The 20,013-nt window shown below is 36.5% G+C and overlaps 1 protein-coding gene across 2 annotated transcripts in view; it reads right to left on the minus strand.

The window, feature by feature from the left end:
* Positions 1-3,205: 3,205 nt before the first annotated feature.
* Positions 3,206-20,013, minus strand: part of NAA50 (N-alpha-acetyltransferase 50, NatE catalytic subunit) — a 29,792-nt gene continuing 12,984 nt past the window's right edge. The window contains exons 2-5 of one of the 2 annotated variants that reach the window (NM_001308445.2): positions 10,707-10,840; positions 10,170-10,289; positions 9,654-9,720; positions 3,206-8,685 (exon numbers count right to left, since the gene is read on the minus strand). In NM_001308445.2, the coding sequence (NP_001295374.1) occupies positions 8,508-8,685; positions 9,654-9,720; positions 10,170-10,289; positions 10,707-10,840 (499 nt within the window). In that variant the 3' untranslated portion in view covers positions 3,206-8,507. Of the gene's footprint in view, positions 8,686-9,653; positions 9,721-10,169; positions 10,290-10,706; positions 10,844-20,013 lie in introns of both variants that reach the window. The other variant, NM_025146.4, reaches the window with a different exon arrangement.

Here is a 20,013-nt window from a genome sequence, read left to right on the forward strand (position 1 = left end):
CAGGTGATCCACCCACCTTGGCTTCTCAAAGTGCTAGTATTTTGACTTATAACCCAAGATATGGTCTATTTTGGTTAATTTTTTTAAAAAAGCACTTTATTGAGGTATGATTGACATACAAAAAAGCTGTACATATCTAAAGTATACAACTTGAGGAGTTTGGAGATAAGTATCCACCCATGAACCCATCACAATGCCATAAACATATCATGCCCAAAATTTCCTCTCAGCCTCTATTGTTTTGTGATTTAAAAACTTACATGTAAGATTTATCTGTAACATATACTTAAAAAATATTTTTATTAAGTATTAATAAAAATATATTTTAAGTATATATTACAGTATTGTTAATTAAAAGCACTGTTGTATTTATTATTAATAAAAATATATTTTAAGTATATATTACAGTATTGTTAATTATAAGCACTATGTTGTATGGTAGCATCAATCACAGTGCCTGATACATGGTAAGCTCTCAGTAAGTTTTGTATTTTTTTGAGACGGAGTTTCGCTCTTGTTGCCCAGGCTGGAGTGCAACCTCTGCTTCCTGGGTTCAAGCAGTTCTCCTGCCTTAGCCTCCCAAGTAGCTGGGATTACAGGCATGTGCCACCATGCCCGTCTAATTTTGTATTTCTAGTAGAGGCGGGGCTTCTCCACGTTGGTTAGGCTGGTCTCGAACCCACGACCTCAGGTGATCCACCTGCCTCAGACTCCCAAAGTGCTGGGATTACAGGCGTGAACCACCGTGTCCGGCCAATAAGTTTTATTGTAATGAATGAACCCAATGCAACATTAGGCAAAAGTAAAGCCATATTTTAAAAAATTGTCTATTAGAATGTTTTTGATCTTTTATCAAAATATCGCAATGCTTTTCTTAGGAGCTCTTTAAACAGTTAAATTTGAGTTTTTTTAACCCCTCTCCCAAGTTCTTAATGCAGAATTTTTGTCCTTTTAAATGCATACGTTAAATCTGACCATATATTTTTTTTTCCTTTTGAGACGGAGTCTTGCTTTGTTCCCCAGGCTGGAGTGCAGTGGTGCAATTTCTGCTCACTGCAAACACCGCTTCCAGGGTTCACGCCATTCTCCTGCCTCAGCCTCCCGAGTAGCTGGGACTACAGGTGCCTGCCACTGCGCCCGGCCAATTTTTTGTATTTTTAGTAGAGACGGGGTTTCACCGTGTTAGCCAGGATGGTCTCGATCTCCTGACCTCATGATCCACCCGCCTCAGCCTCCCAAAGTGCTGGGACTACAGGCGTGAGCCACCACTTAAGCTTATAAATTTGCAAAGCTCTGGAGTTGGGCTACATGTTCAGTTATTTCCCCCCAGTTTTTGTTTTGATCAATTACTTTAGTCCTAGATTATTTCCAATAGCTAAGTTATCTCATATCTGCTACGGGACACATCTTTCCTGTGGTGCTACCATGCCTCAGTGGAGATATTTAATTCTCTAAGCACACTTATCATTTTTGTTCACTCTTAGATGTCTAAATAACCATATGACACAATAATTACTCATTTTGTTTGTAGTAATAGAACCAAAACTCAAAACTAATTTAAATAAGTCGTCTTCAAAATTCTGTAAAAATATGCCTCTCATGCCAACATAGTATCTCATGGGAATTGAAAAAAATGTTATGTTTATTTTCTACTAGACTGTTAAGCATCTCCAGGGAAGGGCCATACTCATCTTTTTAACTGTCAGCACTTATCTCTTATGAGTACATTCCATGACCAAATTTCACATAAGGCAGTGTACTATGCCCTGCAAGTTACAAGGAGCACCTTTTGTTGTTGTTGTTTTTTTTTTAAATGTCAATGATTGGTGATAATCCACATTCTAAACTTGTCCCAGGGTACATTATATAGGCTAAACTTCCATTTGCTGTGAAGGGACTCTAGACAATTCTATGTAGGGAAGAAAGGTTTGGCAAGAAAAGACCAAGCTAGTAGGTACTGAGCAGTTGTGGAAGTTACACTTGAAGGAGTTAGCACTGTTGTAACTATAACAAAGCAAGTAAGACAATCAGGAAACTTGCAGATAATTGTAACCAAGGTCATACAGATTTGCTTATATGTAAAACAAACTGAATCAAGTCCCCCTAGTACATCATCTGGGGAAGAACTGTTAATCAGAAACTAAAATGATGAAGGAAAGAATTTACTCTTTGGATCCTGATGCAAAAGGTCAAGTTGTGAAGTAGGTCACTCATTTGTCTGATGATATGATCTCTAGCTGTCACCAGAGCGGAGCTAGTCTGTTTTTAAACTGTAGCATGAAAAAGGCCATTTAGAATGAGATAAGCTACATTGAGTCCAGGGACACAAGCTACGTATGATGGAATCAGAACCTCTACAATGTTAGGTTGGGCACAGTGGCTCACGCCTGTAATCCCAGCACTTTGGGAGGCCGAGGTGGGAGGATCACCTGAGGCCAGAAGTTCGAGAAGAGGCCGGTCAACATGGTGAAACCCCGTCTCCACTAAAAGTACAAAAAATAGCTGGGCATGGTGGTGCCTGTCTGTAATCCCAGCTACTCAGGAGGCCGAGACAGAATTGCTTGAATCTAGGTGGCGGAGATTGCAGTGAGCCGAGATTGCGCCACTGTGCTCCATCCTGGGTGATAGAATGAAAGACTCCGTCTCAAAAAGAAAAAGAAAAAAAAAAAAAGAACCTCTACAATGTTAGATTGTTTCTGCTGTATAAATTCTGAACTTGTATCTGTTTTGCACTCCCTTTCCCACTTGTAAGTCTCAGTTCTCCTATGGGAATTAAGGCTTTTTGTTTGTACTGGAGCCAATGTTAGAGAAAACAAGTCAATGTAGGGAATTCAAAATTAAGGTAAAATCAAGATCCTTGAAGGAGCTGATTCATTTTAGTAAATAGGATGACCTGCACTTAGACATGAATTCTGCTTAAACTAGAATTTTACTTACCTTTATTTAAAGAAGTCACAGATATTTTTTGCCTTGCTCACTGCTGTATCCCTAGAGTTCAGAATAGTAGGCACCCAGTAAATCTGCAGAAACAATGTACAACTTTTATATCCACTAAAGGAAGATCGTTTCTTACTTAGGAAAGTGATAAGAATGAAGGATGTTATAAAATTGTTTTAAAGGTGCTATAACAAAGCCTTCATCTTACTAAGAGAACTGGGATTTACTGTTTGTGTATTCAAATTTCACCTGCATAAGCAATTACACATATAGTACCTGACAGTTTTATTATACTTTAGGGGAAGAGATGGCTAGTGACAAGGAGAATTCAAGATTGTTCAAATCTTTACAGAAGATTTTTGATACTAGCAAATGTTTCTCAAAGATAAACTAGACAAGTTCAGTATGGACAAAGAAACAAAGAAAAGCATTATAATCAGATGTCCTACGAAAGCTACAGTGATTCAACATGTGCTTTAATTTATACTGCTTAGATCCTTTGAGTTCAGATGTCTTGAGTTTTTGAGGACAGTAAAACAAGTAAAACTGGGATGAAATTAAAGCTATGTGGCAAATTAGTTTCAGTTAAATCAGGAATATCTAATACAAAGCTTACAAACTCCAAAATAGTTCAGCCAATAGAGTAACTTCCCAAATGCTGGATTTAAGCTTTCATCACAAATTTAAAAAGGTAATAATTCTTCTAGATCTCAACTCTAGGCTGTTAACAAGTAGCAACTCCTTCATATTAACTTTCTGCTCCCAACTATTTCTGAATCAGATCTTGCTGCTATTTTTTTCTTATTCTAGAAGCTACTGAGCAAGGAAAATACCTTGATTCATTCTAGATAGAAAACATTTTACTGGCCAGGCGCCATGGCTCGCCTGTAATCCTAGCACTTTGGGAGGCTGCCCCAGGAGGATTGCCTAAGCTCAGGAGTTTGAGACCAGCCTGGGCAACACGGTGAAACCCCCATCTCTACTAAAATACAAAAAATTAGCCAGGCGTGGTGGCATGCGCTTTCTAGTCGCAGCTACTTGGGAGGCTCAGGCAGAATTGCTTGAATCTGGGAGGCGGAGTTTGCAGTGAGCCAAGATCGCGCCACTGCACTCCAGCCTGGGCGACAGAGCGAGACTCTGTCTCCAAAACAAAAACAAAAACATTTTACCTAAGAAATCAAGTATCTTAAATTTTGGAGAACTGAAAAGGTTGAGAATTTCTGCCCCAGTAACAGATCGTTCTCTGACTTAAATAATTCTCAATGTTCTACCAAGTTAACAACACACATTAAGAAATCTGACTCAAGCTCTTTTTCCCATGTGACTATGTTACTTGGCTGTATCATAAACTAGGACTAAGTTCCTACAGTTCAGTCTTGCAAGGGAGAACCAATTCAGGACACTGCCATAGAAAATATTTACTCCCTGAAAAACTTCTATAGGCTTACTGTTCCTATTTGTGACTGTAGTATCCAATTTCCCAGAAATATTCAAATCAGTGAGAACAGCATCAGTCTGAGACAGACTAGTCTCCCCTCCCCACTGAAAACCCAACCACAAGAGCACAGCCTTTAGACCCACTATTTCTTTTATATCCCGAATAACTGTAAAGTGCAGTGCTTTATAACCCTCATTTAGAAAACTACTCCTTTTAGAGACTAATAAAACACAACCTAACCAAAACTACCCTGACCTTGGGAGTCAACGAAGCCCAGCATCTTCTCTGAGCAGTGATAGCCAGTCTCCTAGAGGGCCCAATGATATCCACCTCCCAGTATTCACATCCTTGTGCAGTCCCCTCCCACACTATACCAAGCTGATTCAATGGTTGGTCTGTGTGACTCATGGAATATGGCAGAAATAATGTCACCTGAGGCTACGTCATAAAAAAGTATGGTTTCTGCTCACTTTCTTATATCACCTGCTCTAGGGGAAGCCACATACCAGTTGTCCACCAGGCAACTGGTGCCCAAGGAACTGAAGCCCAAGAGCCACGTGAGCATCAGGCACTGTGTGTGATACCCACACAGTGAGGAACAGAAGCCCAAGAGCCACGTAAGCAAGACATCTTGGAAATGGCTCCTCTAGCCTTGTCAAGCTTCAAGATGGTACAGTCCTGGCTAACAGCTTGACTGCAACCTTCTGAGATCTCAAGACAGAACCACCCAGTTAAGCAGCTCCTAGATTCCTGATCCAGAACTGTGGAAGGTAATACTTGTTTGTTGTTTTAAACTACAGTAATAACTGAGACACACTAGACAAGGATCACTCATTGCTTCTTAAATGAAAAAAGCAAAAATCTAATTATAACAATTTTGACTAGAAATATTAAATACTGAATTCTGTTAAAGAAAAAATCTTAAATTCATGTTTGATAAAAAGCTTAAAAGCCAATTCCCAACTCATTGAACTACCGTACTCCTTCCTTACAAGGAAGAAAAACAAAACACCTGAATATGTTGTCTGTAGCCAATAAACATTACTAACTAGATTGCAGCCTAAAGTGTCAAGTATTTCTAATAATTACATTAAAAATACAGCAGCAAGACAGTTCCTTGGATCTTACTTTTTCCCTCTCATTGGAACTGAATTGTAGATATTGGGCACTGTACCTAGCAAGTCACAGAAGATCTGAATTAGGATGCCTTAATTACACTTGGCCTATTTTAATGATTTTAAAATTAGATCTTAAATGTGAAAGTAAATAAAAGCAGTAAGGGAAACACTACACAATGAGTATGTACGGTTGCTGGCTGCAGAATTCAACAATACAGTTTTGACATTTACAGATATCACAGATCACTACCAGAACATCACATAAGTTTATTTCAGATGTAACAGCAATGTTAAAATTGACAAGTTTAATTCTTAACTGCACCAAGTAAACTTAGCCATTTAAGTATTTTTTTAAGTTATTCCCTCCAAAAAACTGAGGGAGCTTTTCTTTTCCACCACCACACCATGGTTTCCCAATAGTTCTCTTTTTGGAGGACTTTTCAATTGATGAGTAAACTGCTTTAGATATTTCAGAACTTCATTCCCCAAATGAAAGCTAATCTGGACAAACTATATATTGCATAGATTTCTCTACAGATTCTTTGCTTTAAAACCTAAATGCAACTAACATAGTGTAATTTTAACCTATTTGCCCCACAGTAAAAACTATCTGTCCTGAAAAATATGATGGATATATCCTGTGATTTTCCAGTTAACAGAATTGTTCTACTTCAAAGATAATTATTATCATATATCAAAATAACCAGCTCAACATAGGACATTACTTCAGTCTTTACTGACTCATAGGCATATGAACTTGTGCCCAGCTTTTTACCTCTTCCACATTCTCCTCCTCCTCCATAAGTGGATGGAATTATTTAACTAAGTTTGATGTAGGACAATTAACCCTTTACAAACATTTACAATTCAGGTTAAGTCACTGACTACCGTGGAAAAAGAAACTCTATATATAATGATAGGGAGCCTACACACTCAATTCAAAATTTAATATTTTTTCCTCCTTAAATAACATGTACTTGTCATGAGGCAGCTATTAGGTTTTCAATAACCACATTTAGGGATACATTCATAGGACTGATTAGATAGTCCAGGTGAAATGGTTATAGAAATAGAGGCAGTGTCATCTCAGAAAACCATTTATATATCAAAGTCTATTTTGATATCTGGGAAGTTTACAAAAAGGCTGCTGCATTCTTCAAACTACTTATGCCTTCTGTAACTCAAGCACTCTTCTCTTGCCAAGAGCAAGCTGAAGCTTATTCATGAAGATAAAGGTGCTTAACGCTAAACTTTTCTTCTAAGCTTAGATTTGGATTGTTTAAGAAACGAATACCCCCAAAAAACCAGCAAGGTCTTTCTACATTTTTACCATCTTAAGATTAGAACCCTATAAACTCATTCATCAACTGTCTTCTTTTTCTGTATTATTCTTGGCACTCAAGATTGTTGAAGTCTACTGCACTTTGTACTTTCACATTCTCAAATAAAAACTTAAGGTTATAAAGTGTGCATAAACATTTTATAAAATAATTTTGTCATTTAACATATTTGGAAATGAGACTTTATACCGCAATTTTACATAAGAGGATAAATATGAATGAAACTTCCTTTTAAAGTCAAATGACAGAAAGCTCAAGCCCTGTGCATTATTTTAAAGTCTGAGAACATTTCTAAATAGTGGAGATGGGACTACAAAAGGAAAACATGAATATTTCAGATGTCTCCCATCTTACAAAGTTATCAATCTGTCAAAGCCACTCCGTGTGTGCCGGAAAATGATCTGGCATAAACCAGTCCTCTCAGTGGAGGAGGTCACAGTGACATTTGTATTATTAACATTTTACACTTCTATTTTTCCAAGAATAGAAGCAATATGTTTAATAATTACCCCTGCCTCAAATCCTTAAACTCAATATCACAGGCACTGAGTATAAGCAAATCTGGGATGTCCTCCAACAGATGTGCAATAGCACAGCTATGTTATTCTCAAAAATACTATTTTTTCCTATAAAATCAAATGCTCAGTGGCCACACTTTTAACAGCTGGCATTAGATGACAGTAATTGAATTTTTTGTGTCACAGCCCATCTAAGCTTCCTTTTAGGTATTTTTTAGTATGTCCAAGAGAAAACACCTGCTTCAGGTTTATTTAGGGGTAGTGACCTATAAGGACATCAACTCAATTTTTAAGGTTAGACTATTGTTGGGTTTACTGAAGAAAAAGGAACGGGAAAAAATTAAATCACAACACACCTCTTTAGGTCAGTTAAAGGCCATATCTCTAGCTGGGATATTAAAAAAAATTAATCTCACCAGCCCAAATTCTAAAAGTTAATGCCACTAGTAACAATCAACAGCAGGAAAAACAAACCTGCTAACAACCAGCCCACTCATTAGCAAAAAAGCAGTTTAACTCAAATACTTAGACCAAAGTATAACACTAAACCAAACTGCCCCACCCACCAGCAAGAAGAGAAGATATAATTACTTAAAAATCAACATAAGCTTAGTATTTCTTACAAGGATAACAATGTTCCAACTCCCGAGAGAGTGCTCAGAAGGACTAAAGGTGGAGTGAAGGCAATGTCTAGGGATTAGTATCCCAAAGTGTTTAAAAACCCAAAGTACCACAAACACACTCAACTTGTCTATGAATTAGAGAACAAGATACTGCTGCTGCTTCTTTTTGTCTTTTGAAATATACAATGTTTTGTAGGCTCTGCCCTTCAATGTGAAAGCAGGACATTAAATTTGAAATTATTTGACAATTAAATGTTTAGGACCATCTAACTTCAACTGCAAAACTAAACAGATCTACCTTGTCCTTCCTTCAAACCACCTCACAAAAATAAGAGAAAACAATTCAAACATGATTATTTTTTTAAAGTCCTTGAAAGTATTAAAACTCTCAGAGAAAAGGAAAGGAAGAAAGAAAAACAAGAACAAGGAGGGAGAAAAGCTTTAAAAGAAAAGTGTTGGGGTGGGGGAGGAATCAATGGGCCTCTCTTTTATTTGGCGACAAGCAAGTGCAAGAAAGTTCATTTGTAATTTGTTCAGTTGTCTGTCTTTTGCACATCTGCATTCTGACCAGAAGGAACTTTGAGGTTTTTCTGCAGCACATGAGCATCTGCGGGCTCTATCCTCTTATAGTAGTTCTTCTTTGTCTCAATAATCTCAAAGCCAAACTTCCTGTAGAAGTCAATTGCCGACTCATTGCTGATCTGGACATGCCTGAGATATAAGAGAGTATCAGAAAAAAAATTAAAATTAAGGTTTCATCAAGTTTTAAGCATTCTCCACAGATAGCTCCAAACATCTGTTACATTCTCTTTACAACTACCAGTAATCAACAAGGGTTAGGCATGCTTACCTAAAACCTTTTGATGACAATTTTACACTTTTAATCTAATTTTTACATTTGTAAGACAGCTGGCTGAGATTAGAAGGCTCAGTGTTTATTCTTGTAGTCAACAAAGGGAAAAGTACCACAGCTATCAAAATTTTTTCACTGTAAGAGGATAAATTATTAAAAGGCCCTATTAACACACAGAAAAAAAATGATGAAAAATAAAAAACTAGGGTCTCAAAGCTTGAAGATATATCTTCCTTCTGATTGATAAAATACATGGTATGTTTTAAAAATTAAAAACGCAAGCTTTCTCAATTACTCCCAAAATAACACTGTATAATTCAATCTCTCACATGGCCAAACTAAATTATGAACATCCATGACTGTGATCTTAGTCATAACTCTTTATCTACAGCCTCTTGAGATTCAAGTACAATCTCAGCTAGGTAATCTCTGATTTTGATTATTAAACTCTACTACAAATGATCTACTACAATGTTCAAAGCTATCAACATAGCCTTGAACAAAACACACAAGGTTTTGCATGAGAAAAGTAGTATTAATAGTCTTGAATTCTGAAGGCCTGAGTTTTAATCCTGATTTCATCCCTGTGACTTTGGTGCTCTCATCCTAATATAATAAAGCAATGTGTTCTATCTCAGGTTCCTAATCTACTATTATTAATAAAACAAAACTAAACAAAACTAACAACTACTCGAATACTTTGTAACAACTACTTCCACAGTGTTTCCAAAGGCACAATAAGTGACCAGATTTTAAAGTTTCTAGTAAAGATTTCTCCTGCCAATTAAACCCCTTTGATAAGAACATTAAATATTATTTTACTTACAGATAAATGTTGTCAAAAGTACCATCTTTTTCACAGATGTTTAAGACATGATTTAACATTTTAGTTCCTGTTAATAAAATAAATAACAAACACGTGACTTCATAAATCAACCTTTAAATTATGTATCTATCCACTTGCCATCTGAACTACTTATTGAGTCCTAAAAGAATTTATGAGGTATACACTAGATATCCTTATTTTCCAAAGTTGTGTTCTCTCTCTACAATAGCTACGTATGTTTAAAACTGTTAGCAGAAGACTAACCTTTTTAAACAAGCACTTCCGGGTAGAAGAAAAACAGAAAAAGCAGAAGGGGACGTAAACAGCAAATCTATGTAGGGCTTCCAATAGAATTATGTTAATAAACACTAGTTATTTTTCACCATATTTTACATAATTCAGTAACCCTTTCTCAGTATTCCTTAAAAAGACCCAAATTAACTTACTAGGTCAGACACATTAACAAATAATATGTTTATGCTTCTCTGAAGAAGTAAAAAAACCACAATTTTTTACCTATTCCTAGCCTTCGGTAAGGTGCCAGACATCCTAGTGTCATGATGTAAAGTCTCTTCTGATTCTGTGAATGATCCACCCTACAGCATACTGCACCTACAGCAATATCATTGAAATAGGCTGCCAAGGAAAACATAAAGATATAATGTTGAACAGACAGAATAACACATTTAATCTTTTTCCCTTTTAAAGGACTACACTGTTCCTATCAACATTAAATTTCATCAACTATTTCATGAATATCAATGATCTCAAAGCTCTTATGCCATCTTAGGAAGTTTAAGCCTCCTCTAGAGTATAGCTTAAAGTGAAAACACACAGGTATACACTAAGAACACTAAGCATTTCTTTTTAAAATTCAACTGTTTTATTCAACTGATTTCTCTGAGATTTTTCTCACAACCTAGACCACTCCCATTTCCTCACTTATAAAATAAACAAACTAAATTAGTTAACTTCTTCTGCTCTATAAAAAACTAGGGTTCAAGAACAAAAAGAAAGAAAAGAAGGGAGGACAAAAAAAAAACTATATTATACCAAGTTTTGCTAGCTCGCCAACCTCCAGCACATCCTTGTAGAACTTGTCATTGTAGCTGACTGGAAAGATGACCTGATTCAATCTTTTCAACTGTTTAATATTGTGTGGTGTCACATCTCCCAGCTCGATCCGGCTACTGGAACAAATCAAAATGTACTCAATAAAACATAATTAGCCCCATTTGTTAATATGAACATATGAAAGGGGTACCAAGTCTTTTTTACATGATTGATAAATCCAACTCTTTCAGAGTTGATTTATAAGCAAATTATCATTTATAAGCAAATTTTGACAGTCATTCAATACAAATTCTACTCATAGCTTTCATATAATTACATACATTCAGGGACAAATATGGTACACAACGACTACTACAAAGGCCAGAATAACATTCTGCAAGTGTCAAAATTTTCCTTGTAGTTCATAGTTCAGAAAAATTTAGATACACCTATTTCTGGTAAAATTACAGTTCCTTTGCCCAAGTATCTTATTACTTCTAGTAATTTATTCTAAGAAAACAATGGAGGTATGCAATACCATGCACATTCTATTCATGAAAACCGTGGTCTATGAACTACCTACATCAGAGTCACAGAGGTGATATGCAAAATTCACATTCCTGGATACACATACCCCATTTTCAGAACCAGAGTTGCTGGAAACGAAACAAAGGAATCCACCATCTTGAAAATCACCCCAGGATGAAAACTATCCATTAAGAAAGCAACAGGAGTGATATGGTTTGGCTGTGTCCCCATCCAAATTTCATCTTGTAGTTCCCATAATTCCCATGTTGTGAGAGGGACCCGGCGAATCATGGGGGCGGTTGCCCTCATGCTGTTCTCGTGATAGTGAGTTCTCACAAGATCTGATGGTTTTATAAGGAGGCTTTCCTTCACTTCGCTCTCATTTCTCCTTCCTGCCACCATGTGAAGAATGATGTGTTTGCTTCCCCTTCCACCATGTTTATAGGTTTCCTGAGACCTCCCTATCCCTGCGCAACTGTGAGTCAATTAAACCTCTTTCCTTTATAAATTACCCAGTCTCGGGTATGTCTTTATTAGCAGCATGAGAAAGGACTAATAAAAGGAGCATTCCTAAGAAACCACTTGTAATCAAAACAATTGGGTCCATGGAAAAGATTAAAGCGAAAAATTTTCAGTTCCAATTTCTAACAAAGTATCAAAGGTATTCTGCCTGCAGAGCTGTAAACAAAGAATTTTTAATAGCTGAAGTGAACTTCAATACTGTTAAAGGTGGATCAAATGTGATAAGGCAAACCTGACAGCATTCTACAATTTTTTTGCTCCATCCGTATTATTTGCCCAAAAAGATGTTGTAGCATATTGTGTTTTGTAGAGAAAAAGCACATTTCAACTATATTTAACAACGGACTTTTGTTAACATATACAAAAACATGCTTGAAAGGATTTTAATTTGTAGTAGAAATTGTAATTTTAAAAACTGTATTTTGAAATGTTAAAATTTAGATTAAAATGCAAAAAAACAAAAACAGAAACAAAAAAAAACAGCTGGGCATGAAGGCCTGTAATCCCAGCACTTTGGGAGACCGGGGTGAGAGGATCCTTTGAGCCCTGGAGTTCAAGACCAACCTGGGCATATAGCAAAACTTTGTAAGAAATTTTTTTAAAAAAACTTAACCAGGTGTGGTGGCGTGCACCTATGGTCCCAGCTACTTAGAAGGCTGAAGTGAGAGGACTGCTTGAGCCTGGAAGGTCGAGGCTGCAGTAAGCTATGATTGTGTACCATTGCATTCCAGCCTGGGTGACAGACTGTCTCAAAAACAAAACAAAAAACAGCAATAATTACAGATAAAAAAAGAAATTTCTAAATTTGATTTATCTGGAGAGGAATATGATGTAATATTTTATCTTATAGTACAAAGTTCTCTAAGATGTATTACTCTATAATGCCCAGTTTGGAGAACATTCTACTTGGTAAGGAGTTAGAGGCAAAAACAAGAGACTTTTACCCCCTATTTAAGTAGTCTGTATGAAGAACACAAAAGACAGCATAAAGCATCGTTTCTGTCATACTTAGCAGTTTTGAAAGGCTTAGCTCATTTGGAACTTTATCCTTCCTGCCTTGATTATTTTTTATACCACTAATCTGTATTATTTGTTGCAACCAATGATCTTTTCATGTCTTGTATGTCTTCCTAAAATCTGAACATAGTTTCTTAGCAACCACACAGATTAAATAAACAAACATGTTAGTAAAAGGGTAAGAGATTTATATATTTAAAAAACCCCTCAGCACCATAGGAAGTTTAAAAAAGTAAAAATAAAAAAATAGACATTTTCTTGTTATAGTCTCTTCCAACTTCTAGTCACTTAAGTATAGTCTTTTCTCATCCCAAGTATTTGACAACTATAATGAATTCCCTGTATGAAATTCATGTTTTCTTTAAGTAGATTACATCTCATTCACAGAACTCCCCCTCTTCATAACACTTTTCTGACTAAAATCTACTGGGCTCACTTTCCCCACTATCTACCATTCACATAAAAAAAAAAAAAAATTGGGAGGCCAAGGTGGGCAGATCATAAGGTCAAGAGTTTGAGACCAGCCTGGCCAATATGGTGAAACTCTGTCTCTACTAAAAATACAAAAATTAGCCCGGTGTGGTGGCACGTGCCTGTAGTCACAGCTACCCGGGAGGCTGAGGCAGAAGAATCACTGGAACCCAGGAGGCAGAGGTTGCAGTGAGCCAAGATCGCACCACTGTACTCCAGCCTGGGCGAGAGAGCAAGACTCCGCCTCAAAAAAAAAAAAAAGAAAGAAAGAAAGAAAAATCTGTGGATACTGTTATCCTGTAAACTATAGAATCCTTTATTTTTCTTTTTTTGAGACAGGGTTGCTCTGTTGCCCAGGCATAATTACAGGTCACAGCAGCCTCCGCTTCTCAGGCTCAAGTGATCTTCCCACCTCAGCCTAACGAGTAGCTGAGGAAGGCACATGCCACCACGCCCAGCTGATTTTTGAATTTTTTGTAGAGACAGGGTTTCACCATGTTGCCCAGGCTGGTCTACAGTTCCTGAGCTCAAGTGATCCGCCCACCTTGGCCTACCAAAGTGCTGGGCCTACAGGCGTGAGCCACTGTGCCTGGCCAAAATATAGGATCCTTTAAAAATGCAGTAGCTGACAGGGATCACATCTTACCTACACTGTCTCCTGTTTAACTTACCATAGTGCCACAAGTTGGGTGTAGTAATTTTTTTATATACAGTTTGTATTAATTTAGAGCATCTCATTTAAAAAAAAGTCTTAGTATTTAAAAAGTGATTTAAAATTACATTATGAAGTTGAAGTATCAACAATAATAGTAACTTAAGAACCTACAAAGTCAAGCTTCTAAAGTATAAATGAAAGAACTTGAGGTTTTTAAAACTTTAGGAATCATTTGTAGGTAGTAACTAGGCTTCAAGCATACTTACAGTTTTCAAAGAATAATACCAGGTATTTCTTGACTTCATACAAGAAGAAAAAGTGGTTATAGTGCACTGTGCTACAATGAGTCTAATAAAAGTTAACTACTAAAAAAAGTTTCCATTAGGGTGGCCAGATAAAGCCTAAATAGAGAAAACAATATTGAACCATTAGGAAATAGGCAGCTTAATCTTCCCCTAACTAATTAAAAAAATACATGCCTTTTTTTTTTTTAAAGCACACCATAGAAATGACGTAGAAAGGGAAAATATCCTGCAATAATATGGCCAGAAATAAGTTTGCTGATAGTCTTCCAATATTTTTCTATGCGCGTTATATATATGTATATACACGCTTTAAACAAATTTGAGATTTAAGTATTGTTTGGTAGCTGTTGGAAAAATTAAGCTGTTTTTGAGAAATTAATTTGATTTTTGCAAGAAACAAATATGCTAGAAAAATTTCAAAATGTTCACTTAATGTAACCTTGTCAGCAAAACTGAGCTTCAAATATAGTTTAACTCTCATTAACATGATATGTCTGACTGAAATGGAATACTTCTGTAATCCTGATCACTTAGCTCCAAATTATTTTAAGACATGGATTTTCTAAATATATCAAAGTACTATAATCAACTTGTAAATATAAGTTAGCAAGGAACACGGAGTTAAAAAAAAAAAAAGGCATAAGCATAAGGGATATGTAGACATGTCAAGAAAATAACATTACTTGAATGTAAACAACCAAAAAGGTTTTAGTTAGAATAACCTATAAAAAATTAAGTTAAAAGTCCAAATTCTCTATTAAAAAACTAACCTAATGGAGATTTAAAAAATTCTGTCAATCTAAATTTTTCTAAAGTTCTTATGAACATAATAGAGTTGCCTAAAGCATAAATCAATTATATTTCAATAAATATTTGAGTATCTATGTGTTATGCATCTGGAATGCAAAGGTGTTTACATCTGGTAGGAAAGACAGGTATATACAATGTGCTACTAACAGTGTATGTACATATAGTACAAAAATAATACTAGAATGAAGGTGACAATGGGAAACATTTTGAAGAACGACTAGCTTATCCTGTGGAAGGGCAAGAGATGCAGTCTAATAAAACATGAACAAAACAGCAGTGATGTAGTCCGAAAATCAGTCAGTTTGATATGGCTAAAACATCAAGTATGCTTGTGTATAAATGCGGAAGCTGAAAAAGAACCAATTTTATGACGGCCTCGTATATGGACGCATTTGGTTATCTTCTCTATAATTATTCTCTTGGTGATCTCATTCAATCTTGTAGTTGTGTGGCTTTAATGCTGCCAATTTCCAAATTTCTGTCTCTAGCCTATAGTTCACTCCTGAACTCTACATTCCTAGATCCAAGCAATCTCCAGCAGACACTTCAAAGTGAACATACTGCAAACAATTTCAAATCTTTGTTCCAAAATCTGCTTTGCTTGCAGTTTTTCCTGTCAATTGATGGCCTCTCCATCCTTGGCTGCAGTATATGTTAACTCCAAGTCTTTGTTCACATGGTATCTCAAAAAGGCTTACTCTTGATACACTTTTTTCCTTTTCTTTTTTTTTTTTTTTGAGACGGAGTCTCCCTCTGTTGCTCAGGCTGGAGTGTAGCGGTGCAATCTCAGCTTATTGCAACCTCCGCATCCTGGGTTCAAGCAATCCTCCTGCCTCAGCCTCCTAAACAGCTGTCATTACAAGCATGTGCCACCACTCCTAACTAATTTTTGTATTTTTAGTAGAGATGGGGTTTCACCATGTTGGCCAGGCTGGTCTTGAAATTATGGCCTCAAGTGATAGGCTCGCCCACCCTGGCCTCCCAAAGTGTTGGGATTATAGGCGTGAGCCACTGCACCCAGCCCTTGTAATATTCTTGATATGTTTTCTTATCAGGGTTATCTTGGCCTCAAAGAAAGTTTGGAAGTGTTTCTTCCTTTCTGCTGTTTCATTCAATCAATAAAAGAAAGCTTCAGGTATTTTCAAATTAGAAAGTGCACAAATATTTAGGACTACTGTTGATAATTTGACGCTTTTATCATTTTGAAATATCCTTTTTGCTGGCAATACTCCTTGTTTTAAAGTCTACTTTGTTCATTAATACGCAGTTTTCTTTCTTTCTTTTTTTTTTTTTGAGATGAGGGTCTCAACTCTGTTGCCCAGGCTAGAGTGCAGTAGCACAGTCTTGGCTTGCTGCAAGCTCCGCCTACGGGCTCAGGGGATCCTCCTGCCTCAGCCTTCCAAGTAGCTGAGACCTCAAATGCATGCCACCACTTTCAGCTATTTTTGTTTTGTTTTGTTTTTGTATTTTTGGTAGAGACAGGATTTCACCATGTTGCTCAGGCTGGTCTTGAACTCCTGAACTCAAGCAATCCACCTGCCTCAGCCTCCCAAAGTGCTGGGATTACAGGGATGAGCCACCAGGCCTGGCTTTACAGCTTCCTTCAAATCAAAGTTTCATGTTCTATCTTTTACCTTTTTCTTTTTACTTTTCCTTGTGTCCTTATATTTAAAGTGTGTGTAAATAGCATATAGTTGGATCTTATTCTTTTAATCTGACAATTGGAGTATCTGGTCCATTAAGATTTAATGGGCCAGGCACAGTGGCTCACACCTGCAATCCCAGCACTTTGGAAGGCTGACTCGGGTGGATCACTTGAAGCCAGGAGTTCAACACTGGCCTGGCCAACATGGTGAAACCCTGTCTCTACTAAAAATACAAAAAATTAGCCAGGTGTGGTGGCGCGTGCCTTTAGTCCCAGCTACTTGAGAGGCTGAGGCAGGAGAATTGCTTGAACCCAAGGGCAGAGGTTGCAGTGAGCCGAGATCGCCACCACTGCACTCCAGCCTGAGTGACAGAGTGAGACTGTTCAAAAAAAGATTTAATGTAATTATTGAATTACTGATTTAGTTGATTCAAGTCCATCAGCTTGCAATTTTCTATTTGTACCAAGTATTAACTGTTCTTCATTTTCCTGCCTTTTATGGGCATCAGTTTTGATTGATTCCTTGGCTTTCGGAAAAAAAAAAGAAAAAAAAAAACTTTTTAAAGCTTACATAAAATTAAATTCATCTTTTTGGTGTATAGTTCTGAGTTTTTACAAATACATATAATCATGTAACCATTACCAAAATATACAATTTAATTACTCCCAAAACCTCCCACATGACCCTTTAAAGTTCAACTCCCAAGCAGCCACAAATCTCTTTTCTGTTCCCCAAAGTTTTGCCTTTTCAAGAATGTCACATAAATGGAATCACAAAATACATAGCTGCTTGTTTGGTTTCTTTCATTTAGCATAATGTCTGAGACTCACCCCGGTGTTGTGCATATCAATAGCTCATTCCTTGTTAATGCTGAATGGTATTCCATTATGTGGATGTACTGTAAATTTATCCTCTTGTTGAAGAGCAGTTGTTTACAATTTTAGGTAACTGCAAGTAAAATTCCTATAAACATTTACATATAAGTTTTGGTATGAACATAAGTTCTTATTTCTCTTAGTAAATACCTAGGAGTGGGAATGCTAGGTCTTAAGTGTATAGGAGTTCTACTGTTCTGAATCTTCATCAGCATTTGGCATTGTTAACTTTTAAAATTTATGCTAACAGGTATGTAGTGACAATTTATTGTGGTTTTTAATTTGCATCCCCCTAAATAATAAATGAAGTGAGCATCTTTTCATGTATTTCTTTGCCATTCATGTTATCATCTTTGATAAATTAATTAGTTCAGATTTCTTGTCAATTTTTTAAAAACTGGTTTTTCTTGAGTTTTGGGTGTATTATGGATACTTGTCATTTGTAAGTTATGTATGTTGCAAAGAATTTTTACCAGTCTATGGCTTTTTTCATTTTCTTATTGTTTTTGGGAAAGTTTTACATTTTGACAAATTTATTTCATGGATTTATTTCTGAGTTGTATTCAAGAAATATGCCTAACTCAAGATCACAAAGATTTTTATGTTTTCTCTAGACATTTTACATTTAGGTGTATGAACTCCCTCTTTCTTAAATCCCCCTCATTTCTTTCTCCTTAAGCAGCCTTCTTGAGGTATAATTTATATACCATAAAAGCCATGTTTTAAGTGCACACTTCAGTGATTTTTTTACTATAAAGTTGTGCAACTATCATTGCAATTCAGTTTTGGAACATTCTCATTACAGTCTCAAAATTCCTTAGGTGCATCCGCAATCAATCCCCTTTCCTACCCCTAGACAGCCACTAAATCTACTTTCTCTTTCTACAAATGTGCCTTTACTAGACATTTAATATAAATGGAAGCACACAAGAAAAGTGATCTTTTGCACTAGGCTTCTTTCATGTGGCATGATTTTGACGTTCACCTCTGTTTTAACACGTCAGCAGTCTGATCTTTTTATTGCTGAATAGTATTCTATTTTGGTATAGTTTATACCACATTTTGTTTATTCATTCACCAGCTGATGGATATTTGGGCTGTATGTGCATCTTGACTATTATAATGCTGCTATGAATATTGCATAAAAGTCTGCGTGTGGACATACGCCTTAGTTTTTTTTCTGGTAGATAACTGGAAGTGGGATTGCTAGGTTGTATGACAAATATTTTTAGCTTTTAAAAAAACTGTCTGTGGTAGGTACAATAATGCCCCTCACCCCCAACCAAAGGATGTACATGTCATAATCCCAGGAATCTTGAATATCTTACTTTACATGGAAGAACAGACTTTGCAGATGTGATTAAGATCTTGAGATGTGAAGATCAACCATGATTATCCAGACGGGCCTAATATAATCACATAAGTCCTTAATAAACAGAGGAGATATGACAACAGAATACTATTCAGACAAAAAAGATTTTAAGATGCTCTATGGCTGGCTTTGAAGATGAAGGAAGAGCCAGGAGCTAAGGAATGCAGGTTGCCTATAGAAGCTGGAAGAGCCAAGGAAAGATTCTTCTCAAGGGCCTCTAGGAGAAACACAATCCTACTGTATTAGTATCCTAGGGCTATCTTTAAAAATTACCACAAACTCAGTGGCTTGAAGCAACAAACTTATTCTCTTATAGTACAGGAGGCTAGAAGTCCAAAATCAAGCTGTCAGCAGGGCCATGTTCTCAAAACTCTAGGAATCTTTCCTTGCCCCTTCCAGCTTCGGTGGCCCCACGCTTGGGGCAGCCTACCTCCATCTTCACATTGTCTTTGTGGTGTGTCTGTTTCCTTTACTCTTCTTATAAGGACGCTAGTCATTACATTCAGGACCTGCTCTAATTCATATGAACTCAATTATATCTGCAAAGACCCTATTTCTAACTTAGCTCACATGCTGAGGTTCCAGATAGATAATAATTTTTGAAGGACACTATTTAAAATCACTCTGTCTGCCAACACCTTGATTTTAGCCCAGTGAAACCCATTTCAGACATTTAACCTCTAAACTGTGGCTGTGACGTTTATATTTCCATCAGTAATGTATCAGGGTTCCAGTTTCTCTATACCTTTTATTGCCTTTCTGTTAATAGCCATTCTACTGGTGTGATGTGATATCTCATTGGACGTATTTCTCTACTGACTAATGATGTTGAGTATGTTTTTGTATGGCTATTAGCCATTTTTTTTTTTTTTTGTAAAATCACTCTTTAAATCTCTTGCCCATGGTTTAGCCCTGAGAATAAACCTAGAATTTTTTACACTAATTTTGTACTCCTGCTTTTACATTGGATTGCTTGTCTTAGTGAGTTGTAAGAGTTCTTTATATATTCTGGATACAAGTCCTTTATCAGACAGATGATTTTGCAACTAATCTCAATTGTAGCTTGTCTTTTCATTTTCTTACCACGGTATCATACTAATGTAAGG

Source organism: Homo sapiens, chromosome 3, assembly GCF_000001405.40.
Source record: "Homo sapiens chromosome 3, GRCh38.p14 Primary Assembly".
NCBI lineage: Eukaryota > Metazoa > Chordata > Mammalia > Primates > Hominidae > Homo > Homo sapiens.